This window comes from Homo sapiens, chromosome 4 (assembly GCF_000001405.40).
Source record: "Homo sapiens chromosome 4, GRCh38.p14 Primary Assembly".
Lineage (NCBI taxonomy): Eukaryota > Metazoa > Chordata > Mammalia > Primates > Hominidae > Homo > Homo sapiens.
In genome coordinates this window covers 3,594,723-3,619,238 of record NC_000004.12, presented here as the reverse complement: position 1 = coordinate 3,619,238, position 24,516 = coordinate 3,594,723, and the positions used below count along the sequence as shown (strand labels likewise).

At 54.5% G+C, this 24,516-nt stretch overlaps 7 annotated features.

The window, feature by feature from the left end:
- Positions 4,762–5,377: an enhancer, noted in NCBI's record as "H3K4me1 hESC enhancer chr4:3615589-3616204 (GRCh37/hg19 assembly coordinates)". NCBI's record gives its function as "activates a minimal SCP1, AML or CMV promoter by ChIP-STARR-seq in primed H9 embryonic stem cells {active_cell/tissue: H9 hESC(primed)}" and the evidence as "EXISTENCE:reporter gene assay evidence [ECO:0000049][PMID:30033119]".
- Positions 17,604–18,105: an enhancer, noted in NCBI's record as "H3K4me1 hESC enhancer chr4:3602861-3603362 (GRCh37/hg19 assembly coordinates)". NCBI's record gives its function as "activates a minimal SCP1, AML or CMV promoter by ChIP-STARR-seq in naive H9 embryonic stem cells {active_cell/tissue: H9 hESC(naive)}" and the evidence as "EXISTENCE:reporter gene assay evidence [ECO:0000049][PMID:30033119]".
- Positions 18,796–19,295: an enhancer, noted in NCBI's record as "H3K4me1 hESC enhancer chr4:3601671-3602170 (GRCh37/hg19 assembly coordinates)". NCBI's record gives its function as "activates a minimal SCP1, AML or CMV promoter by ChIP-STARR-seq in primed H9 embryonic stem cells {active_cell/tissue: H9 hESC(primed)}" and the evidence as "EXISTENCE:reporter gene assay evidence [ECO:0000049][PMID:30033119]".
- Positions 19,296–19,797: an enhancer, noted in NCBI's record as "H3K4me1 hESC enhancer chr4:3601169-3601670 (GRCh37/hg19 assembly coordinates)". NCBI's record gives its function as "activates a minimal SCP1, AML or CMV promoter by ChIP-STARR-seq in primed H9 embryonic stem cells {active_cell/tissue: H9 hESC(primed)}" and the evidence as "EXISTENCE:reporter gene assay evidence [ECO:0000049][PMID:30033119]".
- Positions 21,073–21,573: an enhancer, noted in NCBI's record as "H3K4me1 hESC enhancer chr4:3599393-3599893 (GRCh37/hg19 assembly coordinates)". NCBI's record gives its function as "activates a minimal SCP1, AML or CMV promoter by ChIP-STARR-seq in primed H9 embryonic stem cells {active_cell/tissue: H9 hESC(primed)}" and the evidence as "EXISTENCE:reporter gene assay evidence [ECO:0000049][PMID:30033119]".
- Positions 21,574–22,074: an enhancer, noted in NCBI's record as "H3K4me1 hESC enhancer chr4:3598892-3599392 (GRCh37/hg19 assembly coordinates)". NCBI's record gives its function as "activates a minimal SCP1, AML or CMV promoter by ChIP-STARR-seq in naive H9 embryonic stem cells {active_cell/tissue: H9 hESC(naive)}" and the evidence as "EXISTENCE:reporter gene assay evidence [ECO:0000049][PMID:30033119]".
- Positions 23,124–23,625: an enhancer, noted in NCBI's record as "H3K4me1 hESC enhancer chr4:3597341-3597842 (GRCh37/hg19 assembly coordinates)". NCBI's record gives its function as "activates a minimal SCP1, AML or CMV promoter by ChIP-STARR-seq in naive H9 embryonic stem cells {active_cell/tissue: H9 hESC(naive)}" and the evidence as "EXISTENCE:reporter gene assay evidence [ECO:0000049][PMID:30033119]".

Here is a 24,516-nt window from a genome sequence, read left to right as displayed (position 1 = left end):
GTAGCAGCCAAAAACATAATAGAAGAAAACTTTCCAGGTGGAGAAATTGAAAATGCTGAGCAAAAAAATAATGCAGAGAGAGCAATAATGCCAGAGGGTGTTGTGCTACACTGAAGTTTGCACTTCAGGAAAAACAGGGCATCAGAAAAGCTCCCAAGAGGACAAAAGTCAACAGATTATCTTCAAATAAGCTAAAATTAAGTTGTCTTCAAATGTGTCTGCTGAAATAAAAGATGCCTCCAGACCATGTGATATGGTTCCGCTGTGTCCCCACCCAAATCTCATCGTGAATTGTAGCTCTCATGATCCCCAAGTAGTGTGGGAGGGACCTGGTAGGAGGTAATTAAATCATGGAGGTGGTTACTCTCATGCTGTTCTCATGATAGAGAGTGAGTTCTCACAAGATCTGATGGTTTTATAATGGGCTTTTTCCTCTTTGCTCAGCACTTCTCCTTCCTGCCATCATGTGAATAAGGACACGTTTTCTTCCCCTTCCACCATGATTGTAAGTTTCCCTAGCCCTCCCCAGCCATGAAGAACTGTGAGTCAATTAAATCTCTTTCCTTTATAAATTACCCAGTCTCAGGCAGTTCTTTACAGCAGCGTGAGAAAGGACTAATACACCATGGGATAACTGATACTGGCATATCTGTGTGGGAAACCCTAGGACCTGAGAACTTTCTGGCCATTTCTAAAAGCTCCAGATGGCTGCACCTGTCGCCTCTTCTGTAAAAGCTGCTTGAACGGAATCCTTCAAAATACCAAACAGGACAGCAGGGACATCACCATAGAAAGAATTGGGCTGGAATGATAGGCCAGGTAAAAATAAGAGAATCAAAGCATTCACAACTCTTGTGAGAAAGGCTGCTGCTCACACAAATTTAAAATACAGTTATAACAATGCCAACAAAGTGGAACGCATTGGAAAACTTTAAGGGGTTTAAAATTTCAAGTAAAAAGTATGAGGTTTGTAAATTCAGAGGAAATTAATGCACTTAGGAAAGGGATGAAGATAACAAGGAGGAGCAGCATTAAGTTCTCTGTTTTCCATAAAAGGGAGTCAAATGTCATTGTTTAATCTTTCATTGTTAGACAAATATAAGTTTAAGACTGTTTCAAAAACACGATATCTGCCTTCTAAATCATTACAGATTTTTTAAAAGAAGAAATATATGGACAGAAAAAATGTGACTGAAACACCAGGAGTTTGATGTTGGTCTTGTTGCTCACTGCACAGAAAGCCAGTCACCAAGACAATGAATACTGCAGGGAAGAAGGAAGGCTTCATGCAGGTGCGCAGCTGAGGAGGTAGGAGCTCATTCTGAAATCCATCTCCTCAACTGGCTAAATTTAGGGGTTTATAGAGCAGGGAAGAAAAGTAACCACATGTAGAAAAACAAGAATTGGGGGGTGCAAAGAAGAGGAGGTGGTCAACAGGAAGAAGGTGGTCCCTTAGACAGTCATGATGGGTGCAGGTCAGCCGTCTCATTGTCCGGGAAGGGGGGGAGGGGAAGGGAGGAATGGGAGGGAAAAAGGAAGATAGGGAGGGGGGGAGAAGGGAGGGAAGGGAGGAGAAGGGAGGGATGGGAGGGAAGAAAGGAGGGAGGGGAAGGAAGAAGGGAGGGATGGGAGGTGGGAAGGAAAGGAGGGAGGGGAGGGAAGAAGGGAGGGGAAGGAAGGGAGGGGCAAGAAGGAAGAAGGGAGGGAGGAGGGAGGAGAAGGGAAGGAGGGGAGGGGAAGGGAGGGATGGGAGGGAAGAAGGAAGGGAGGGCTGGGAGGGGAAAGGAGGGAGGGAAGAGGAGGGGAAGGGAGGAATGGGAGGGAAAAGGAAGGAAGGGAGGAGAGGGGATGGAAGGACAGGAGGGAAGAAGGGAGGGAGGGGAGGGAAGGAGGAAGAGAGGGATGGGAGGGAGGGGAAGTGAGAGATGGGAGGGAAGAAGGAAGGAAGGAATGGGATGAGAGGGAAGAAGGGAGGGAGGGGAGGGGAAGGGAGGGAGGAAGAAAAGAAGAGAGGGAGGGAGGGGAAGGGAAGGGAGGGAAGGGAGAGAGGGGAAGGGAAGGAGGGGAGGGGAAGAGAGGGATAGGAGGGAAGAAGGTAGAGGAAGAAAGGGACGGGAGGGAAGAAGGAAGGGAGACTGGGAGGGGAAGGGAGGGACAGGAGGGAAGAAGGGAGGGAAGGAGGGGGAAGAGGGGGAGGGGAAGGACGAGAGGTCAATATGACACACTCATTCCAAATACCAGGTAGAATTATGTAAATATAAAGGATTTCTGATTACAAAAAAAAAAAGACCAGTCTAATGTCTTACCACTTATAAGAGACTTCATAAAGCAAAATAACACAGAAAGGTTTAAAATGAAAAGATGAAAAAAATCACAGACTACAGTAAAAGTCAAGAAAGCTGGGGCTGGCACATTAGTATTGCAAAATTGAATTTACAACAGGAAGCATTCACTGTTACATCAGGAATCATTTTATAATCTTCACATATGCAAATAAAGATGGAGTGCTAACAGTAAGCAGCATTTGTGAACTCACCAAGACAGCAGCAAAACACCAAAAAAAAGGGAAATCTTTATAAATATGGGGGAAGGGATTAGGTCCACTCTGAAGGCCATAATACATGAGTCCAGCGAGGGGTGGGAAGACAAGATGAGCAGGGCTTTGGCGTTGCAGGAGCGCCTGGCACAGGGATGCCTACTGCAACCATTTAGACGCAAAGTAAATCTAAGTAAATATTTAAAATGCAAAATTTACACCACTCTTGCTTTCTCGTAATGCAATGGAGCTACAAATCATAAAAGTTTAAACAAAGAAGCCAACTGCTTAGAAATATAAAAGTAAGGGAGCAAAGAGGACATACAATGACGTATCGTTTGTACTAAAATAAATATAAGCATACTACGTAGCAAACGAGACAGAGCCCAAACTGTCACTGGGCATCAATCTGTAGCTTCAACCGCGAATGCCATTTCTTAAAGTCAGACAAAAGAAACATGTGGGGCGCAAACCCCAGGAGTTTAGGAAAACACTTCTGGTTTAAAGAGGCATGTCAAGTGGCCCTCACACAGACCCCGCCGACCCACCACCAGAATCCCTGCAATCAACAGAGACCACAGCTCACACCGCCGCCACTCCCGCAGGTGGACAGGCAAGCTAGGCTGGGGAAATGGGGTGAAACCCACCACTCAATGCCGCCTTAGGCCCCCTGCCCCTAAAGGGACCCCGTGCCTGAGGTCCACCCACCATGGGGCTTGGGGTCCTGGAGGGCCATCACACTAATCCCCCCTGCCACCTCTCCCCATCTCCAGCGTTCACGGTGACCCAGGAACTTTGTGCTCAGCCGTCTGGGGCAATTCTGTCCGCCTCCAATCCATCTGTCAAAGCCCTGAGTCCCAGGACTTCAGAATGTGACCGTGTTTGGAGACAGGGACTCGATAGGGGAGATTAATACGAAGTGAGGTCACATGGGTGACCCTAATCCCATCTGACACGTGTCCTTATAGGAAGAGGAGATGAAGACACAGATACGCACAGAGGGGCAGCCCTGTGAGGACACGTGGAGAAGACGGCGCGTGCGAGCCAGGGAGACAGAAACCAACCCTGACAACCCCTGATCTCAGACTTCCAGCCTCCAGAGCTGGGGGAAAGTACGTTTCTGCTGTTGAAGCTGCCAGTCTGTGGTGCCGGGTTACGCGCCAGTACCCACGCGCCAGCCGAGACAGCAATAGCGAGACACTCCGGACAGGCGGAGGGCGTGCGGCCTTCCCACCGCCCACCTGAAAACACTGCCTAAAGGTGAGCCCAGTCCACGAAGCCTGCATGAAATGACGCGTTCAACAGCAGGAAGGACCTGGGTGGCATAAAAAGAAAAAGAGTCAGGGAGACCAAGTCAGGAGAGGGGAGAATGAGAGTGGAAATGGTTTGGCTGTGTCCCCACACAAATCTCATCTTGAATTGCAGCTCCCATAATTCCCATGTGTTGTGGGAGGGACCCAGTGGGAGATAATTGAATCGTGGGGGCGGTTTGCCCATAGCGTTCTCATGGTAGTGAGTAAGTCCTGAGATCTGATGGTTTTAAAAGCGGAAACTCCTCTCGCTTGACTCTCATTCTGTTTTGTCTGCTGCCACGTAAGACGTGCCTTTCGCCTTTCACCAGGATTGTGAGGCCTCCCCAGCCACGTGGAACTGTCTGTCCCTTAAACCTCTTTCTCTTCATAAATTACCCAGTCTTGGGTATGTCATTATCAGCAGTGTGAAAACGGACTAATACAAGACTCTTCAAAGGACGCCGAGCCCAGCACCTCCCCAAAGCCTGAGGAACTGGAGCGACATGAGGGCTTGGTTCAATCTTCCTGACCGTTGAGTTCTGACCCCACCTCCCGGGGGGCAGGGAGATGTGGAGTGAGGAGGTATTCACTGAACATTTCTGGACAAGTGGAGGCCGCAGTGGGCACTTGGGCAGACAGCAGTCTGTGACGTGCAGGCTGCCCAGGAGGCTGGAGCTGGGTGCAGGGCCCCATAGCAGTCAGCCCCTGCAGCCAACAAGCACCTGTGAAATCTCGACGGCGCGCAATGCAGTAATTTATCTGGGCTGCGCCGGGAGGCTGGCTGGCTGGAGCCGTTGGGTCTGGGGTGTCCCCTTGTTGCTTCTCCTTCGTGGACTGGGGGCTGGTGGGGACGAGCTGCTTCCCTCAGCAATGGCGAAGGTGCTGGGGAGAGTAGAAAACCCTCCACCTCTGTAGGCCCAGGCCCCGGGCCTGCACACTCTCTCCTCCGCCCACGTGCCCCGGGGTGAGCCCAGTTCAGGGCCAGGACACGCATTCCTCCTTCTGAGGGAGGAACGGTCTCCTGGCAGAGGGCCTGGATGCAGGGCAGAGTGAAAAATTGTGGCCAATTATGCCATCTGCCACACCGGCCTGAGAAGTTGGACTGCATCCCAGGGCAGCAGGGGCCATCAGCAAGTGACAGGGAGCTGGGCTGCAGGGAGGTGGGAGGCCGAGAAACCTGTCGGAGGCCACTGTAGTTCATCGTCCAGGAGAGAGATGGCAGAGGCCTCGATCCGGGGGCGGGAGAGAGGGCAAAAGGCCACAGAAAGAAGAGTTTAGGAGGCAGAACCTTAGGCCTGGACCCTGGCTGTCTGCCAGCCGGTGGTTCAGGATAAGTTCCTGGTGACTGGCTGGAGAAGCTGAGGATGGGAGGGGCAGAGCCCAGGGGCAGAGTCACTGGGTAGGGGAGCCCTCCTCCAACCCAGACTCTGGCCCGTGTGGCTGAGACTCCGTTCTGTGTTGTGTAGTGTGTGTGTGTGTGTGTGTGTGTGTGTGTGTGTGTGTGTGTTTACAGCAGTATGCGTGTGTGCCGTGTGTGCTGTGTGTGGTGTGTTTGCATGTCTGATGTATGTGCCGTGTGTGCTGTGTGTGGTGTGTTTGCATGTCTGATGCATGTGCCGTGTGTGCTGTGTGTGGTGTGTTTGCATGTCTGATGCATGTGCCGTGTGTGCTGTGTGTGGTGTGTTTGCATGTCTGATGCATGTGCCGTGTGTGCTGTGTGTGGTGTGTTTGCATGTCTGATGCATGTGCCGTGTGTGCTGTGTGTGGTGTGTTTGCATGTCTGATGCATGTGCCGTGTGTGCTGTGTGTGGTGTGTTTGCATGTCTGATGCATGTGCCATGTGTGCTGTGTGTGGTGTGTTTGCATGTCTGATGCATGTGCCATGTGTGCTGTGTGTGGTGTGTTTGCATGTCTGATGCATGTGCCATGTGTGCTGTGTGTGGTGTGTTTGCATGTCTGATGCATGTGCCATGTGTGCTGTGTGTGGTGTGTTTGCATGTCTGATGCATGTGCCATGTGTGCTGTGTGTGGTGTGTTTGCATGTCTGATGCATATGCCATGTGTGGTATGTGTGGTGTGTTTGCATGTCTGATGCATGTTCCATGTGTGCTGTGTGTGTTGTGTTTGCATGTCTGATGCATGTTCCATGTGTGCTGTGTGTTGTGTTTGCATGTCTGATGTATGTGCCATGTGTGCTGTGTGTGGTGTGTTTGCATGCATGATGCATGTGCTGTGTGTGGCATATGATGTGTGTGGTGTGTTGAATGTATGATGTATGTGCTGGGTGTGTGGCATATGCCGTGTGTGGTGTGTGTTCTGTGTGTGTTGTGGTGCATGTATGAAACATGTGCTGTGTGTGGTGTATGTGATGTGTGTGGTGTGTTGCTTGTATGGTGTGTGTGCTGTGTGTGTCCTGTCATGTGTGTGGTGTGTTGCATGTCTGATGCATGTGCCATGTGTGGTGTGCATAGTGTGTGTGGTGTGTTTGCATGTATGCTGCATGTGCTGTATGATGTCTGCATGAGTGTGTGGCATGTGTGTTGTTCTCCATCAGAGCACCCCTTTCCTCAGGGATTGGGGCATTTACACCCCTAGAATAGACCCTCCATCCCATCCTTCTCCCCCAGATCTCTCGGACCTCTGGACTGAGCTATGGGGAGCCTGCCTGAAGTTCCCTCCCCACCCTCCACTGGACCAGCCCCTCCCCAGAACCTAGAGCCTGTTCCCCTGCCTGGGATCAGGTCTTGGGGCCTGGAGGGTCACCACAGAGGCCCTCTGCTGTCTCCCAGCCTGGAGCCTTGTGGGAAAGAAGTAGCTGTTGCTGTGGCAACCTGCAGATAGGCCCACCCCTCCTCCCCACTGGCTAAGCCTCCGGGGTCTGCCCACACCTCTCCCAGGTGGGCAGGGAGAGAAACCCGAAATCTCTGATGCACTGAGACCTGCAGCTTCACTGCCAGGAGGCCAGGGTCTCTGAAATGAACAATCCCAGAGGGGAGGCAGAGTCCTCCTGCCCAGTGGCCTGGGACAGTGGCATTGCACTCCCTGCCCTCGGTCCATCATACACACAGGGATGCCCGCCCTGAACCCCTCAGGGACCCCCACCCCTAGATCTGTCCTCCAAAATCCTCTCAAACCCCCACAGTCACTGCCTCCTCCTGCCCTACACCCTTTAAGTAAACTCAAACAGCACCAAGAGCTAATTAAGGCAAGGTGACTCCATGACTCCAGAGCTCCGTGGGACCCTGGGGACACCCCACATGCAGAGTGGGCTTGGGGAGCAGGGTCTGCTCTCAAGGTCTTGGGTCTGTGAGGCTGTCTCCCACATGTGGGCCCCAGTCCCTGAGCAGAACCCACAGGCATCCTCAGCTCTGTCTCCACACTCCAGGAGGTCAGGAAGACACAGTCCTCGCCCCCGGCCTTCCCAGACCACGCAACCCTCGACTCCGCGAGGAGTGACGAGGACCCTTCCCTTCTGTAACCTGCCGCTGGGCCCCCAGGGCGAGGCACCCTGAGAAGATGCCTCTCTGCCCAGCCTTGCTCTCCGCGCTCCACACGCTAGCCTGTCTCTCAGCCCCTTAGGCTGGTGCCCAAGGCCGCTCCCATGAGAAACCTCCCCCAAAAAATAAAGGAAGTCCCTGCTTTTCTTCTCTCTTTGGTCTTCACAACCTGGGGAACTTGCAGCCTGGGTGCTGCTGGAGGCAAGGGTGCCAACCACCCTGCCCCACCACCCCCGGTACACAGCAGAGCCCATGTGCAGCTCCAGGCTGGGCTCTGAGCTAACAGCCAGGCCAGCAAGTGCGAAGGGCCTCTCTCAGCTCCTGCTCAGCTGGGAGCCTCCCCAGGCAGCAGGGTCAGGAAACGGGGCACCCTGCTGACCCCCCACCCTCATTCAGGGGCCCTCATTGTGTGGGGGCTCCAGGACAAGGACCTGCCCCTGGGCACAGATGGTGAGAGCAGGAGGCCAGGCCAAGGTGTCAGAAACCACCCCCACCTGGACGGAGGAGAAATCCCGCTCCTACAGAGAGCAGGGGCTGAGTGAGAGAGGGGAGTGGCGGACAGTGTGAAGGGAGGGCAAACATCCCTGCCCGTGTGTGGGTGCTCCTGGAGGCCTCTGCCCATGAACATGCATACACAACACACCACACACACACAACACACTTACAAACCACTCACACAAACCACACAACACAAAGCCTGAGGTGAGCACAGTCTTCCCGAGACACGCAGCATGGCCCCAGAAAGATTGATGGTTTGACAAGGGCAAGTGAGGGGGGAGGAAATACCTGTTTAGACAGATGAATGGATGGGTGACAGACGATGGGTAGATAATGGATGGGTGAATGGATAATGGATGGGTGGATGGATGATGGATGGGTGGGTGGATGGGTAGATGGATGGATGCATGTGTCGATGGAGGTTAAGGTGGGTGGATGTATGGGTGGATGATAGGTGGTTGCATGGGTGTAACATGGATGATGGATGGATGAGTGGATGATGGATAGATGGATGGATGAGTGGATGATGGATAGATGGATGGATGAGTGGATGATGGATAGATGGATGGATGAGTGGATGATGGATGATGGATGGATGAGTGGATGATGGATAGATGGATGGATGAGTGGATGATGGATGATGGATGGATGAGTGGATGATGGATAGATGGATGGATGAGTGGATGATGGATGATGGATGGATGAGTGGATGATGGATAGATGGATGGATGAGTGGATGATGGATAGATGGATGGATGAGTGGATGATGGATAGATGGATGGGTGAGTGGATGATGGATGATGGATGGATGAGTGGATGATGGATAGATGGATGGATGAGTGGATGATGGATGATGGATGGATGAGTGGATGATGGATAGATGGATGGATGAGTGGATGATGGATGATGGATGGATGAGTGGATGATGGATAGATGGATGGATGAGTGGATGATGGATGATGGATGGATGAGTGGATGATGGATAGATGGATGGATGAGTGGATGATGGATGATGGATGAGTGGATGATGGATAGATGGATGGATGAGTGGATGATGGATGATGGATGGATGAGTGGATGATGGATAGATGGATGGATGAGTGGATGGGCGGATAGATGATGAATGGGTGAATGGATGATGGATGGGTGGGTGGATGGGTAGATGGATGGACGCATGGGTGGACATTAAGGTGGGTGGATGATGGATGGATGGGTGGTTGAATGGGTGGATGGATAATAGATGGATGGATGATGGATGGGTGGATGGATGTTCAAGTGAGTGGATGGATGGGTGGATGGTGGATATATCACGGATGATGGATAATGGATGAGTGGATAGGTGGATGGGTGGGTGGATGATGGATGAGTGGATGGGTGGATGGGTGGGTGTATAATGGATGAGTGGATGGGTGGATGGGTGGGTGGATGATGGATGAGTGGATGGGTGAATGGGTGGGTGTATAATGGATGAGTGGATGGGTGGATGGGTGGGTGGATGATGGATGAGTGGATGGAGGATGGATGGATGCATGTATGCATGGATGGATGATGGATGGGTGGATGGATGGATGGATGATTATATCATGGATGATGGGTGGATCAATGGTACATAGGTGGATGGATGGGTGGATGGATGTTCAGGTGGGTGGATGAATGAGTGAGCAAATATTTGGGTCATAAATGAAAAGTGTGTGATAAGTGAAGGGACAATGAGTCAATCAATGGCCCAAACTGGGGCCATATCCTAGCAGAGTGTGGCCAATGAACAGAGGCCAGATCAAGCAGCCCCCAGGGTAGGGCTGGGCAGCTGTCAGAAACACACCCTCTACAAGCCCAAGCCAGGGGAAAGACGGCAGCAAGACAAGGCTGCACAGCCTTGAGCCTCACCTCCCTGTGTGTGTGCATCTGTGTGTGGCTGTGTGTACACATGGAGTTGTGTGTCTGAGAGTTCCAGTGTGTGTTTCTAACTGTATGCAAACCTGTTTGAGTGTGCTCTCATGGGTGAATGTATGTGTGCATGTGTCTGTGTGTTGGGGCATAGCTGTGCCTGTGGCGTGTGGGTGAGTGCATGTGTCTGTCTGCCTGTCTGAAGTCTCTGTGTTTTCGCGTGTTGGATGTATCTGTGTCTGCATGTAAGCGTGTCTATATGTGCCTGCATGTGCTGGGCGTCCTGTCCACACCTTCGGCCTGGGACCTTTCTCTGTTTTGAGCTCTCCCTCTTCCCTGTCAGTGCCGTGCTGGTAAAGATTTAACAACTGGCTCTGCATCGGGGCTTGGGAGAGCCCTGACTTTAGCATTTGCTGATATCCATGGTGTAAACCCAACCGTGGCTGACTTGGAGCCCCCAAGGCACTGAAAGCAGCATTGGGAGGAGACACAGAAGCACAGCCAGCTCTCCGGAGCCTGTGTCACTGACCCCAGATGCTTCGGCCTGGCTCTGACTCCTCATGCATCAAAGCCCTCCTCACGTGGTTCTACCTTGGACCATAGGCTCAAGCACCTCCACGGTGGCCTGGGGCCTCTGCTCTCTCTGCACAGTCAGGGGCCAGCCTGAACCGTCCAGGTGTGCTGGGTCACAGAACTCTACCCAGGGGTTCCAGGGGCAGGACAGGGCAGCGCTCTGCAGAGGAGAGGACCAGCAGCTCCCCAGGGTTGGCGCCTACAGGCCACAGCCCTGGAGCTAACTCTGCCCTGAGAGAGTGACCACCCCATGATCCCTCCCTGCCCCAGTGCCTCCAGGAAGCCCTCCCTGCCCTACCAGCCACCTCTCATCTTGCAGACAGCAGTGCATTCATCATGGAACCCTCGAGACTCTCCTTGAATGCGTGCCACGCTGACTCGAACCCTGGGTGGGGCTGTGGGACACCACTGCTGATCCATTCTACAGAAAGTCTACTCTCCTCCACTCTGTTCCAAGCATCGTGCTAGATGCTGAGAGTACAGAGACAAATAAGTTCTATCCCCGCTGTCATGGAGCCCCCTAAAATGAGCCCCACCACTGCAAACTATCACTCCTTCAAGCTCAGCCTGGCCCCTGGCCAAGCTATATCCAGACCTGACAGCTGCATGTTAATAAGCCCTCCCCTGCCATGGCCACAGTGCACACTGAGCAGCACCACCTGGCCGGTGGGCGTACCACCCCTGCAGGCTGCCTAGACGAAGGACAGCCCTGCTCACCCCCCAGGCCCCCATCTCTCACGCACACACAGTCGGAGGCAGGACAGAGCTCAGCTCCCTCTGCCCAGGGCTGCCTGCCAGGTCAGAAAGCAGTGCCCCCACCTCAGTGGAGAGGGAGGAAGGGTGCGTGCCCTCGGCAGACAGTGTCCGGGGCGAGGGCGGGCCCTGGGCTCTGCTCAGAGGGAGGAGGCCTCTTCACTCTTCTGTGTCCAGCAAGGTCAGATGGCCCCTGGCACAGTCTCCCTGCTTGTGAGTGTCTCACCATCTGTGCACAACCTTGGCCGCCAGCTCTGCCCTGGGCCTGCCCCCAGCCTGGCCCTCCTCTTCCCCCACCTGTCATTAACCTTCTCCAGGGAGGGTTTGTACAGCATGGCTCTGCCTGTAGCCTCTGTGGTTTCCCATTGCCCTCGGGACAAAGCCGGGACCCCTACGCAGCTAGCATAGACCGTCTCCTCTGTCCCGGGCCGGGCCTGGCCCTGCCCTCCGCCCAGGCTCTGGACACATCCTTCCTCTCCCCTGGACACTCAATGTGAGGCCTCAGCCCTGTCCTGGGTTCATGGCTGCACACGCCTGTGCGTAGCGCATTTTGCACTGCTCCTTGTAGACCATTCCTTCTTTCCACATGCACTCTGAGTGCCCGATCCATGCCAGGAAAGCCACAGGGAGCAAGAGTGCACGAGAGACAAAACCCATAAAACAGGGGGGTCACCTGCAGGGGAGACCTCGCTGGGGTTGCTTAGGGAGAGACACGGGGGCCGGGGAGGGAGCCACGTGGACACAGGGAATCCTGTTCCAGGCAGCAAGTGCAAAGGCCCTGAGGCACCAGCTTCCAGCAGGCTGAGGAAGAGCCTGAGGGGCAGGGCAGCTGCGTGGGGTGAGGGCCGTGGAAGATGTGCTTGGGAGAAGACAGGGCTGCCAGGCTGCAGGGTGGGCATGCCGGGTGTGTGAATTCCGTAGGATGGGCTTCTGGGAGCAGCCCACAGAGTGCCTGGCCCAGTGATACTGATACCTAATCGGGCTTCCCATGTGCAGGCCCCACCCTACATACACATTCATGCACCACAGTTATGCAATCCTCACAGCTCCCCCACTAGGCCCATTTTGCAGATAAATAAGCAGAAGCAGAGAGGTGAAGTAGAAGGCCCAGGGCCAAGCAGCAGGCAAGGGCAGAGATGGAAAGCAAACCCAGGCAGGCGACTCTGCATTCACCCACGTGCCCCACCCCACTGTGGCTTGGTCCCCAGGAACAGGGATGCATCCTCCTCCTCCCTGAGCCTGGCCCCAGGCCAGTGAGGCCCCATCTGCGTGGATCATGAGGTGACAACTTAGCACCCCACAGCATCCAGAGACCTCCCAGGAACTCGCTGAACTGGAGGGGCCTAATGCACCTTCGTCCTCCAGGGTCTATGGGCTCTGAACTCACTAATTCATTTCTTCATTCCCTCACTCATTCACTCACCTACTAACTCATTCACTCACTCACTCATTCACTCACTCACTCATTCATTCATTCACTCACTCACTCACTCATTTACTCACTCATTCACTCACTCACTCACTCATTCACTCACTCATTCATTTGCTCACTCATTCACTCATTCACTCATTCACTCACTCATTCACTCATTCACTCATTCATTTGCTCATTCATTCATTCACTCACTCATTCACTCACTCACTCATTCACTCATTCATTCACTCGCTCACTCATTCACTTGTTCACTTATTCACTTGCTCACTCACTCACCCGCTCATTTGTTCATTCACCCATTCACTCACTCACTCATTCACTCACTCATCCATTCACTCATTCATTCATTCACTCACTCATTCACTCACTCACTCATTCACTCATTCATTTGCTCACTCACTCATTCACTCATTCATTCATTTGCTCACTCACTCATTCATTCGCTCAATCACTCATTCACTCACTCACTCATTCACTTGTTCACTTATTCACTTGCTCACTCACTCACTCACCTGCTCATTTTTTCATTCACCCATTCACTCACTCACTCATTCAGTCATTCACTCACTCACTCATTCACTCTTTCACTCACTCATTCACTCACTCATCCATTTGACAAATCTAGCCTAGCCCTACCTACTCCCTGGGGCCAAGCTAAAAGTGCTGAAATGCATCATTGTTGTCCCACCATGGGGACATCTCAGGCTGGTGCTCATGGACACAGACAGGGACAAGGAGGGAGGCCCAAGGATGTCTGAGCTCTGAGGAGACCTCTCTGCTGGGCAGAGTCCAAGGGCACTCCCCTGCTCGGTGGGATGGCAACCCTCTCTACCCTGTAGGGCCACAGTGTCCATTCCAGTCCCAGGTGTCTGAGGGACACAGAGACCCTGTGGTTTCCTGCCTGGCCCCACATCCTGCTCTGTGTCCCTGCCTGAGAAAAGAGGAGTCACCTGACAGTGGTTACAGCGATGGCACGCAGCCTCCTGCCATTCCGGCCAGCATCAGAGACCGCTGAGCTCAAGGGGCCGGCAGACAGACTACGGCAGGAGCTGGCTGTGCCTGGCAGGCCCTCGGACATACGGAGGCGGGCAGGGGCTGGTCAGGCCAGACCTCAGGCAGGGGGACGTGGAGCCAAGGTCTCGAGCCAAGACGGACTGGGAAAGAGAGAGGGTTAGCTGTCCTTGCCTCAGCCCACGGGGGAGGGGGTGGCTGAAAGGGGCTGGAGATGTGGTCACTGAGGGGTCCCAGACACCAGACAAGCCGGAAGCCTAAAGCAGAGGGAGCCCCGCGCCCCAAAGGACAGCCCAGGGAGACTGCAGACATCGGAGCTGGGGTCCTGCCGGGCTCATCACTCCTGGCTGCACAGGCTTGGGGTAATGGTGACAGCCAGCCCATCTGGAGCAGTTACTGAGCGCCAAGGCCACACCTGGCCTCACCATCTTTGACTCACTCGAGCCTCGTAACAACCGGTGAGGTCTCCATGGTTCCCACACAGTTAACTAAAGCTCAGAGAGGCCAACGGTCTCCTACAAAGGGGGCTATGAGCCCACCACAGGTGGGAAGCCAAGAGCCCCTGCTCCCTGCCCCTCCAATCCCTTACCGAGGAAACGGGACACATACACATTCCCTATGGACATTCCCTAAGGAGGCCCAGAACCTGCCACTTCACTAGTGAGGTCCTGGGCCCGAGACCCTGTGGGATGATCAGGCCAGCCCCAGGAGCCTTCCCTGCGAAGCTTGAAGTGCCCCGACCCACGTGCCCAAGGAGGCCAGCCTAGGGAGTGACGAGGGCTCCAGGCATGCCCTGCCTGCCTCTCCCTGGTCCATGGCCTCGGGCAGCTCAGCTCACCCTTAACCCACTGGCTCTCTGACCACCTATAGGCCCCGGTCCTCGTCCCCACACAGCTCCCACAGTCCCACTGGAGGCCCCCCGCTGCCCCACCTCTGGTCCTCAGACATCCTGGCAAGCCCCTCCCGAGCCCCTCCCTCTGCAGGAGTCCTAGGGACCTGGAAGGGAGGTGGGGCAGTGGGCGGTCCCACGAGAGGCTTCTAACAGGAGTAGCCTGGTCCTGGGCTCAGACCAGTCCAGGTCCCACAAAGGCCAGCCCGGTGTGGCCAATGGGCTCTGCCTCAGAACCAGCAGGGAGGTGATAAATGCAGGTCCCTCACCTCATTCTGACTTCCTGAGTCCAGGTCTCCAAGTGGAACCTGGAAACTGGATTTTACAGGTGCCAGGGCCTTCTTAGCGGGAGGCTGGTGAGCTGAGAATGCTGGTCCCAGAGGCCTGGCGAACCCCAGCTCGTGAGCCCCCACCCGCAGAGCAGCAGCTCCTGAAGCAGAGCCCAAAGGCCACTGCCCCCCATGCCCTTGGTGCCCAGCACAGTGTGGGCAGAGTAAGGAGCCAGGAGGATGAGTGAATGAATGAATGAATGAATGGGTAAATGAATGAATGAATGAATGAATTCAAACTCCCTTCCAGTTCAGCCAGTGCAACTGCCCCCAAGAGGCCTGCTAATCCACAACAACTTAGAAGAATGTTGACCCTGGCCCAAGACCCTCGGCCCCTCAATGCACAGGGCCTCCTCATGCCCCCTCCCACCCTGGGGTCCCCGCTCCCCTGACTAGAGACATCAGAGACCAAAGTGGCCGAGACAGAACGACTCAGGGTTAATTTCCTTGTTCTTTGGGCTGTGTGCCCCAGGGCCAGTAACTCAACCTCTCTGAGCAGCTGTTTCCCACTTCTGAAAGTCCCACTTACTTCCCAGGGGTGTTTGGGGCCCAGTGAGATAACAGATAGTCTGGCCAAATGGGGAAGCACAACCCACTGGAAGGTGCTGACCGGACAGGGCTGGTACGGCGGCAGCAGCACCCTCACTCTATGCTCCACACACACAGCCCTGAAGCCGCTGGGTCTCCCTGCCTGGGGCTTTGCACACACGCACATAGGCCCAGAGAGGTGAGCAGGTTGCCAGAGGTCCCAGCTCCTCCAGGTGTGGGGCAGGATTTGAACTTGGGGCTCCCTGGCCTGTGAGCGCTGCTCTGAACCCTTCTGCCAGCACAGGTACCCCATACACACCACACTGGCTCCTCCACAGCATTCCCTCTGCTTGGAATGCCTTTCAAAGTTCAGCACAGACCCGCCACCTCCTCCTGGAAGCCTTCCCTGACTTCCCAGCCCCACAAGCTACTGGTGTACATGCCTCCTCTCTGGCAGAAGCTACTCTAAAGACACGTGCCCTGTTGTTGGTTCATTCAGCACACTCTGTGCAGGCACCATGTGCTTCTCAGGGGTGTTCTCTCCATTCCCTGGCACACAGTAGGGCTGGTACTTTGCTGGCGCCCTGCTCCATGGGTCCCTGTCTGAATCATTTCCACCCTTGGGCAGCTATGAGTAAATGCCGGGACCTCCAGCCAAGATCTTTTCATTGGCTCTTTGTTTGGGCTGTTTTTGCCCTTTTAAAGTAAAAATAGTTTATTTTTAACATATTGATGCTGTTGTTTTCTTTTTAAGAAGGTGCAAAAATAAAAAACCAGGCTGGTTTCTCCTCTTGGCCAGTATGTCTGTGGCAGCCCTTATCAGACACCCGGAAGCTCTGTAAAGGACCCCCAGGCACCCGGGTTCCCGGAGAGAGTGGAGGGGCTCAGGATTGGGGGCGCTGCCACCAGAGGTAAAGGAGGCATGGCCTGTCCTCTTGGGGACAAACCAAAGGTGCAGGGGAGGGCCCAGGAGGACCCTCTACCCCTGGAACAAGGGCCTCTGTGGGTGGAACCAAGAGCGTGAGAGCTGCCTGGGCCATCTGGAAGACGAACAGCAATCCTCTCTGCAAGTCCCTCTGGGCAGCGCCTCCCTAAAGCCAGCTCTGCCCTTGGGAAGCTCACAGGACAGAGGGGGAGGCAAGGGGAGTGGAGGGCTGAGGCCAAGTAAGGAAAGGGGAATAGGGACACAAAGAAGAGCCCAGGAAGGCCTCTCGGGAGAGGCAGCTCCTAAACCGAGCCCTGAAGGATGATAAGAGTTATGCAGACGAACGAGGACCAGACAGGACACTGCAAGGAGCCGCCCCCCTGAGACGGTAACCTTATCCCCCACCTGGAGACTCAGTCTCCTACGCTGTTGAATGGGACAGTCCTAGTGGGTCTGGCCAGGCAGGGTTCTCACAAGGACCCAGCAGCAGTCTCACTACCCATTTGTTCATTGCTTTCATGATCAATCGTCACCTGTCTTCCTTGACACCATCCCACGCCAGGGCCTGGAGAGGCCAACAAGGATCAGATAAGCCCCTGGAAGGTTCTGGCTACTCCCAGGCCAGAAAGGAAGATGGATGAGAAGAGATGATGACAGTCTGCATTCAGGCAGGGTCTCCAGACGGGGAGGGTCTGAGTCTTTCAGGGACATTCACATCCACTTTGCTACAGATCAAGGATGAAGAGGAGGTGGGTGGCTCTGGAAGGCCAACAGGGAGATGTACTGAATGACGAAAAGTCCCCAGGCAGGGCCCCCAAGGCAGAAAGCTGAGGCGGGAGCTCAGAGACCCACCCTAGCTCGAATATGCCACAGAGACAGCAATGGCTGCACTGAAAAGGCAGTGGGACCAAGTGCAGCCACCCACAGCTCTGCCCACACTGCTCTGGCCCACAATTGCCCAGTGACCCCCACAGGGACTTGCTGAGGCCTGGGGTAGGGCCCACTCCCCAGGGCAACCAATCAGAGACAGCTGTGGCATATGGACATGAGGCCAAGGGCAGGAGCAGCTCCTGTCTGGGTCTCAGTTCTCTCCTCATCTCCCCCGTGATAAAGCAAAGACAAAGTGAGGCTTCCAGGAACTCAGCGCTGCAGAGGTGGTTGTCGCCATGGCAGTCTACCCTGAGCCAGCAGGACCCAGTTCCTGATGGGGAAGTGGGAGGGGGAGAGAGAAGAGAGAAGCAGGTGCAGCCGGTCCCCTGCCAAGGCGCCTGGGCCAGCGCTGGATGCAGGGGATCCCACAGCGCACCATCTGCCCTACACGTAAAGACTTTCTGACCATTGCCTAGGTGTGGTTCTCTGGGCTGGGAGCGGCCTCCTTCCTGCCCTGCAGACCATTCCCCCAACAGCAGCCAGAGGGGTCTTTCAAACGCCAGAGTCACCCCCAGGCTCAAAACCCTGGGAGCCTGCTGTCTTCAGAACACATTTCACAGTCCTTGGCCTGGGAGGCAGCCTGGCTGGGAGTTTCAGGCCTGGGCCTAAATCCGGCCTCTCAGAGCACCAGCCATGCGGGTGGTCAGTGCTCCAGCAGCCGGGCCCAGGGCCTCCCTTGCACACAGAGGAGGGTCCACGGCGTCAGAAAAACAAAGAAAGAGTATATATGGACCAAGCTCCTTGCTGTCAGGCACGCACAGCCCTCAAGGACAGAGTGGACGAATGCACAAGCCTCAGCCCTGGACCCAGGCTTCCCCTGCGCACAGAATCCCTCAGGCTTCCTGCCCTCAATGAGGTGGGTCTGGGCACATGAGGCCCCTGCTCCCTGACCGCTGGGCTGTGGGAGGGCCACCTGGGTCACCCCAGAGGTCCAGCAGCTCCTGGAAATCAGTGCCCACCAGGTGCGGGAAGCGCCTCTGCCCTTGCCCCTCCAGGCCCAAGGCAGGGAAGGGTAATTTTCTGGACAATGTCCAGGTGAGGCTGCTCCTCCAGGTGCTCCCAGGTAAGCTCCAGGTAAACGGGCTTTCCCAGCCCCTGCTGGTTTCCCTAACCACCCCTCTCACCCCAAAACATCCTTCATCAGCCCCACAATTGCCCACTGGAGATTCTGTGGCTCCTTCACGCCAGGTCCCTGATTCATGGAGAGTCACTCAGAGGGAGACAAACTAGAAAGTAGAAGCGGTGGCTCACGCCTGGAATCCCAGCACTATGGGAGGCCGAGGCAGGCAAATCACTTGAGGTCAGGAGTTTGAGACCAGCCTGGCCAACATTGTGAAACTCCGTCTCTACCAAAAATACAAAAATTAGCTGGGCATGGTGGTGCATGCCTGTAATCCCAGCTACTCAAGAAGCTGAGGTATGAGAATTGCTTGAACCCGGGAGGCACAGTTTGCAGTGAGCTGAGATCGCACCACTGCACTCCAGCCTGGGCGACAGAGGGAGACTCCATCTCAAAAACAAAACGTAGAAGTCCCATAGCCTCAGCCCTGGGAGGCTGTGAGAGACAGCCCGGTCCCCACCCTCACTCCCTGCCTGGCCCAGGGAGCAAAGCCCCCACAAAAAGCAAGTGCAAAGCAATGCATGGGCAGAGGTGCAGGAGGGGAACTAGGCTGGCAAATGCGAATTTAAACGAGCCATTCATTGCCAAGCAGTGTGTCATGGCACTCAGAGACATATAAAGGGACGCTTGACATAAAAAGGACCCCCTTAGCTCCAGGCCCACCTCCTGTTCTTGTTCTGCCCGATCCTTCACCTGCGGGCATGAGGCTGGGTGGGGTGTCCCTCCCCTTCCTGTGATTTCTCCTGCAAAAAGCATCCAGGGCAGCATTTATGGACCACCTGCAGCATACCTAGCCCTGGGCTAAAAAAAAGTAAGGAATGTCAACTGCCGTGTCTGGGAAGCCTTGCTGGTGCTGGTGACCAGGGCAGGACGCTGAGTGGACACAAACTAGGGAAGGGGCGGGGCTTGGAGTCACCACCGCCGGCGGCCTCCCGCCTCTGAAAAGGTCCCTGTCCTCAGGCTGGGCCCTTCCAGCCGCATAGCTCAAATTAATCTTCCTGCCTCCCCAGCCTGTGGAGAGGGGAGGAAGCTCTGTGGGCCTGGGACTGCCTGGGACTCCCACTAACACTGTATCTGGGAGAGCAATGCCCCCCCCACACACAGATGCATACAGACACATATGCACACCTGGCCCACACACACAGACACATGTGCACACCTGACCCACACACACAGACAAATGTGCACACCTGCCCACACACAGTGCACACCTGCTCACACAGACACATGTGCACACCTGCTTACACACATACACATGTGCACACCTGCCCACACAAATATGTGCACACCTGCCCACATGCATACATACACATGTGCACACCTGCCCACACACATACACATGTGCACACCTGCACACACATACACATGTGCACACCTGCCCCCACACACATGCACACCTGCTCACAGACATATGCACACCTGCTTACACACATACACATGTGCACACCTGCCTAAACGTGCACACCTACTCACATGCACACAGACGTGCACACCTGCTCACACTCAAACACACGTCCACACCTGCCTTCACATACACACATATGTGCACACCTGCTCACACAGACACAGGCACACCTGCCCACACACATGCACAACTGCTCACACTCAGACACACGTGAACACCTGCCTTCACATACATACACATGTGTACACCTGCTCACAGATATGCACACCTGCTTACACACATACACATGTGCACACCTGCCTAAACATGTGCACACCTACTCACATGCACACAGACGTGCACACCTGCTCACACTGACACACGTCCACACCTGCCTTCACATACATACATATGTGCACACCTGCCCACACATACATACACATGTGCACACCTGCCCACACACATGTACACCTGCTTACACTCAGACACACGTGCACACCTGCCTTCACATACACATGTGCACACCTGCCCACACATACATGCACATGTGCACACCTGCCCACACATATGCACACCTGCCCACATTCACATGCACACCTGCTCACACTCAGACACACGTGCACACCTGCCTTCACATACGTACACATGTGTACACCTGCCCCCACACACGTGCACACCTGCTCACACAAACACACATGCGCATCTGCTTACACACATACACATGTGCACGCCTGCCCCCACACTCATGCACATCTGCTCACATGCACACAGACATGTGCACACCTGCTCACACACAGACACATGTGCACACCTGCCCACACATACATACACATGTGCACAACTGCTCACACACACGCACAACTGCTCACACACAGACACATGCACACCTGCTCTCACACACATATGCACACCTGCTCTCACACACGTGCACATCTGTTCACATGCACACATACACATGTGCACACTTGCTCACACTCAGACACAAGTGCAACCTGCCCACATGCATACACATGTGCACACCTGTTGCCATGCACACATACTCATGTGCACATTTGCTCACATATATGCATACCTGCTCACACACACAGGCACGTGCATACCTGCTCACACACACATATACATGTCCACACCTGCTCACACACAGACGTGTACACCTGCTCACACGCATACATATATGTTCATGTGTGCACACCCCCAGCAGGTGCATGTGCCCTGTGGTTGCCTGACTTCCACACCACAGGCTTGTGAAAGTGATGGGCACTAATGTTGCCAGCTGCATCTCTGGGCAGGTTTCCTTGGCAACCTCTCTCTCCTACTCTCTCAGTTTGGGTCCCAGCGTCTCCGTGAGAGCATCAGAGCCATTGGGAGCAGAGTTCTGTAACCTCTTAAAAAGATGTGTCAGGTTTGACAAACACATCTTGGCACAGCACCCAATCATGGAGCTCTGCGTTTCAGGTGCTGGCCTCGTGATGGAAACCTGCTTGGACCCCAAAACGCTGTGCAACCTTCTGGAAGACTCGGCCTTTCTGAACCCCAGCTCTGGGGCTGAGGCCATGGGAGCAGTGCTGCTGCCTCACAGGCTGCGTCCAGCACACGTAGCTGGGAAGGGCAGCCAGTCATCCCAGGAGCTGCACCTGGGAAACGCTCTCCCTTGCAGACCCAGGAGGGAACCATCCCTGCTGACACCTTGACCTCGGATTTCTGACCTCCAGAACTGGGAGACGATTCATTTCCGTGGTGAAAGCCCCTGGTCTGTGGCATGTTTTCCTGGCCACCTTGCACTCTGTCCTAAAGCAGAGGGGCAGCCATCAGCCCCACCTCCACCTGCCCCGCACACCAGCTCTGTTGCAGGAGCCTCAGGTCCCCCGGCCTGTGTCAACTAACCCAGGGGTCAGTCAGGAAGTTTTGAGAGCAGCTGAACTGAGCCGCGAGGGACCAGCCAGTTGGATCCGTCAGAACTGACCCTGCCTTCCGATGGATTGGACACCTTCCGGCTGCAGGATAGAAAGTGACCTTGGGTGTAGGGCCAGCTGCACATGGAAGACACCTTTGGAAAAGCTCGTCCTGAGACCGGATCCCTGGGGCCTGCCCCCTCAGCCCGTATCCTGTCCTGCCAGGCCCGGGTGCCCCTCCCCTGCCTGACTCAGCTTCCCTGACCCCACCCTGGACTCTGCTTCCCCAGCCTCACCCCATAGCCCAGGCCTTCCCGACCCTGTTGGACACCTGCACCGGGCCCCCGAGTCTAGCGGAGCCTTCCCGCCCCTCCCTTCTGCTCCAGCGTCCACAGCTTGACCCTCAGCTTGGCTCTTGAGGTGTCTGCGGCCTGCCCCTCGCAAGGTGACCCCCCCGCCAGCCTCCTCCACCCCACAGGCTCCTCCTGGACCTGCCACCTTCCTCTTGTCCGGATGGCACTGAGGCAGGGGCTTTGTCCTTCCTGCACAGTCTTCGAGGGGCTGGAGGGTCCTCAGAGGCAGAGCTCCTGGGGGCGGTGGGGCCATCACCTCAGTGGGAGGAGCAGTCCCATGGATCATTCACCAGGCAGAGGGGCTGGGGGGTCTGGGGCTGGCCTTGCCCCTGGTAAACCAGGGGGCATCGTGAGTCTTGCCTGAGTCCCTCGAGGAAGGGGCTCCTTTCAGGAAGCCTTTTTCCAGAACACACAGTAGGGGCTACAAGCAAGCCTGTGCTGAGCCCAAGTGAAACTCAGCATTATAAGAACAACTGGATAAACATTTAGAAAAGATAGAATGGGATCTGACTTTATGGCATATCCCAGAGTCAACTCCAAATGGATCAGAGATTGAAATGTAAAAAATGAAACCACAGGGCCTGGCGCAGTGGCTCACGCCTCCCAGCACTTCGTGAGGCTGAGGCGGGAGGATCGCTTGAGCCCAGGAGTCCAAGACCTGCCTAGGCAACTTAGGGAGTCCTCGTCTCTATTTTTAAAAAAAAAGAAAGAAAGAAAGAAAGAAAAGAAGAAATGAAACTACAAATGATCCCAAGGAATTTGCAGCGTGTGAATTTTTTATAATCTAAGAGCGGGAATAACTGTGGCTCCAAAGTCAGAAGCAATCATGGAAGATACTGATGATATTGATGTGTGAATGTTATAATTACATACAAAAAATTGAGACCATGCCAAAAAGCAAAATATAAACAAAGTTAAAACACACATGATCAACACAGAGGGGAAAAATCCACAATTTATGTCACGGTCAAAGGGCTGATCTCCCTAACGCAGAAAGAGCTCTGATAAAAACAGGGAGGGGAAAAGACCAAAACCTGATCAGAACAAAAGGGACATAAAAGATGTCAACAGGCAGGTCGGAGAGACACGCAGACATGCAGACCACCCTCAAACAGAAGCCATCAGAGGGACCTCACTTAACAAGGGTGCCTGGGAGCTGCCTGGAGACACCGCTTCTTCCCCATCAGTGGGCGCTGCCCTGGGGCTTGACCACGTGCTCTGCAGGCAGCTGTGCGGAGAAGTGGGCCCTGTCTCCCACCGCTTGGAGCATACACGACAGTACCATTCCTGCGGGGCACAAAGTGCCGCAGTGCGCAGGGAAGATCCAGCCACCTATGAGCAAAGTACAGGTGTATCGCCTGAAGCAGCCGCCTCCAATGTAGGAAATCACATACGCCCAAGGGCGTTTGTTATGGCATTATAAGCAGTATCAAAACAACGGAGACATCCCAGCTGTCCTTCAGCAAGGGCCTGGTCAGATGAACCAGGGTGCGGCCATGCGATGGGCACCAGGCAGCCGTGAGGAGGAAGCAGTCCTCTCTACGCGCTCTCCCGCGCCTGCTCTCCAGGACGCGGCCTTCAGGGACAACAGAGAGGAACAAGGAGTGCAGAATGCCCCCTTCTGTGCAGCGGAAAACATGCACTTGACCTTCTGCTTCTGCCATGACAAATGAACATGCACAGGACAAGCATTCCTACCATACACGACTATCAAGCTGGGCAAAATCGACAAAGCGGCTGTTTGCAGACACTGGGCCACAGGCTGTGACACTGTGCCCTGTGCTCTCCCTAACTTCTGCCTGGAGGCACTTTCTGGACCCAGGATGGGCAGGTGGAGCCTAGGCAGAGCACAGGGGTCTCACTGAGCTCGGTCAGTCTGGGGAGACTGAGGCAGCTGGGATTTGCAGGGCAGAGGATCAGAGAGGAGGGAGCTGCACAGAGAAGAGATTCAGAAACGCATGGAAGGTCTTCTAAGGGCTTCTGGATACTGAGCTGCCCACGTGAAAGGCAAGATGAGGCCTGACGGAGGACATCTCTGAATGAAGGGACTGGAGCTAAGGACAGCCCGGAGGCGACACGCTGCTGAGAGTCATTCACATCCCAACCAGCCAGAGCTGGAGGCCTGGGTGCCCAGCAAGAATGCCAGGCATTGGGAGTTGGCTTCCTGGCCCTAGAGTAAAGGCTGCACCAGACCCACCCTACCAAAGCTGAAAAGCAGCTCGGCAGGACCATCTGACCCAGGAAAATGCCCACCAGCGAGGATGCACTGCTGCAAGTCCAGGTGCAACAGTGGAGCATCTTTAATGTCCAGCGTATGTTAAATAAATAAATAAATAAATAAATAAATAAATAAATAAAAATTTTAAAAAAACCCTACACATGGAGATTTGGGAAAATCTGACACACAGCCAGGGAAAAGGACTAACGGTAAATAGAAATACACCCAGAGACACTGGAGTTCACAGACGAGCACTTAGAAATGCCTATTACAAATATGTTCAAGAGCTTAGAAGAACAGACGGTGACGATAAGCAAACAGATGGAGACTCTCGGCAGAAATGAAACGCCCTGAAACAAAATGGAAATTCTGACACTGAAAACTACACTCTCTGGAACAAAAACAACCCTGGGCGAGCTTCACAAACAGATTGGAGACAGCAGAAGAAAGAATCAGTGAACTGAAA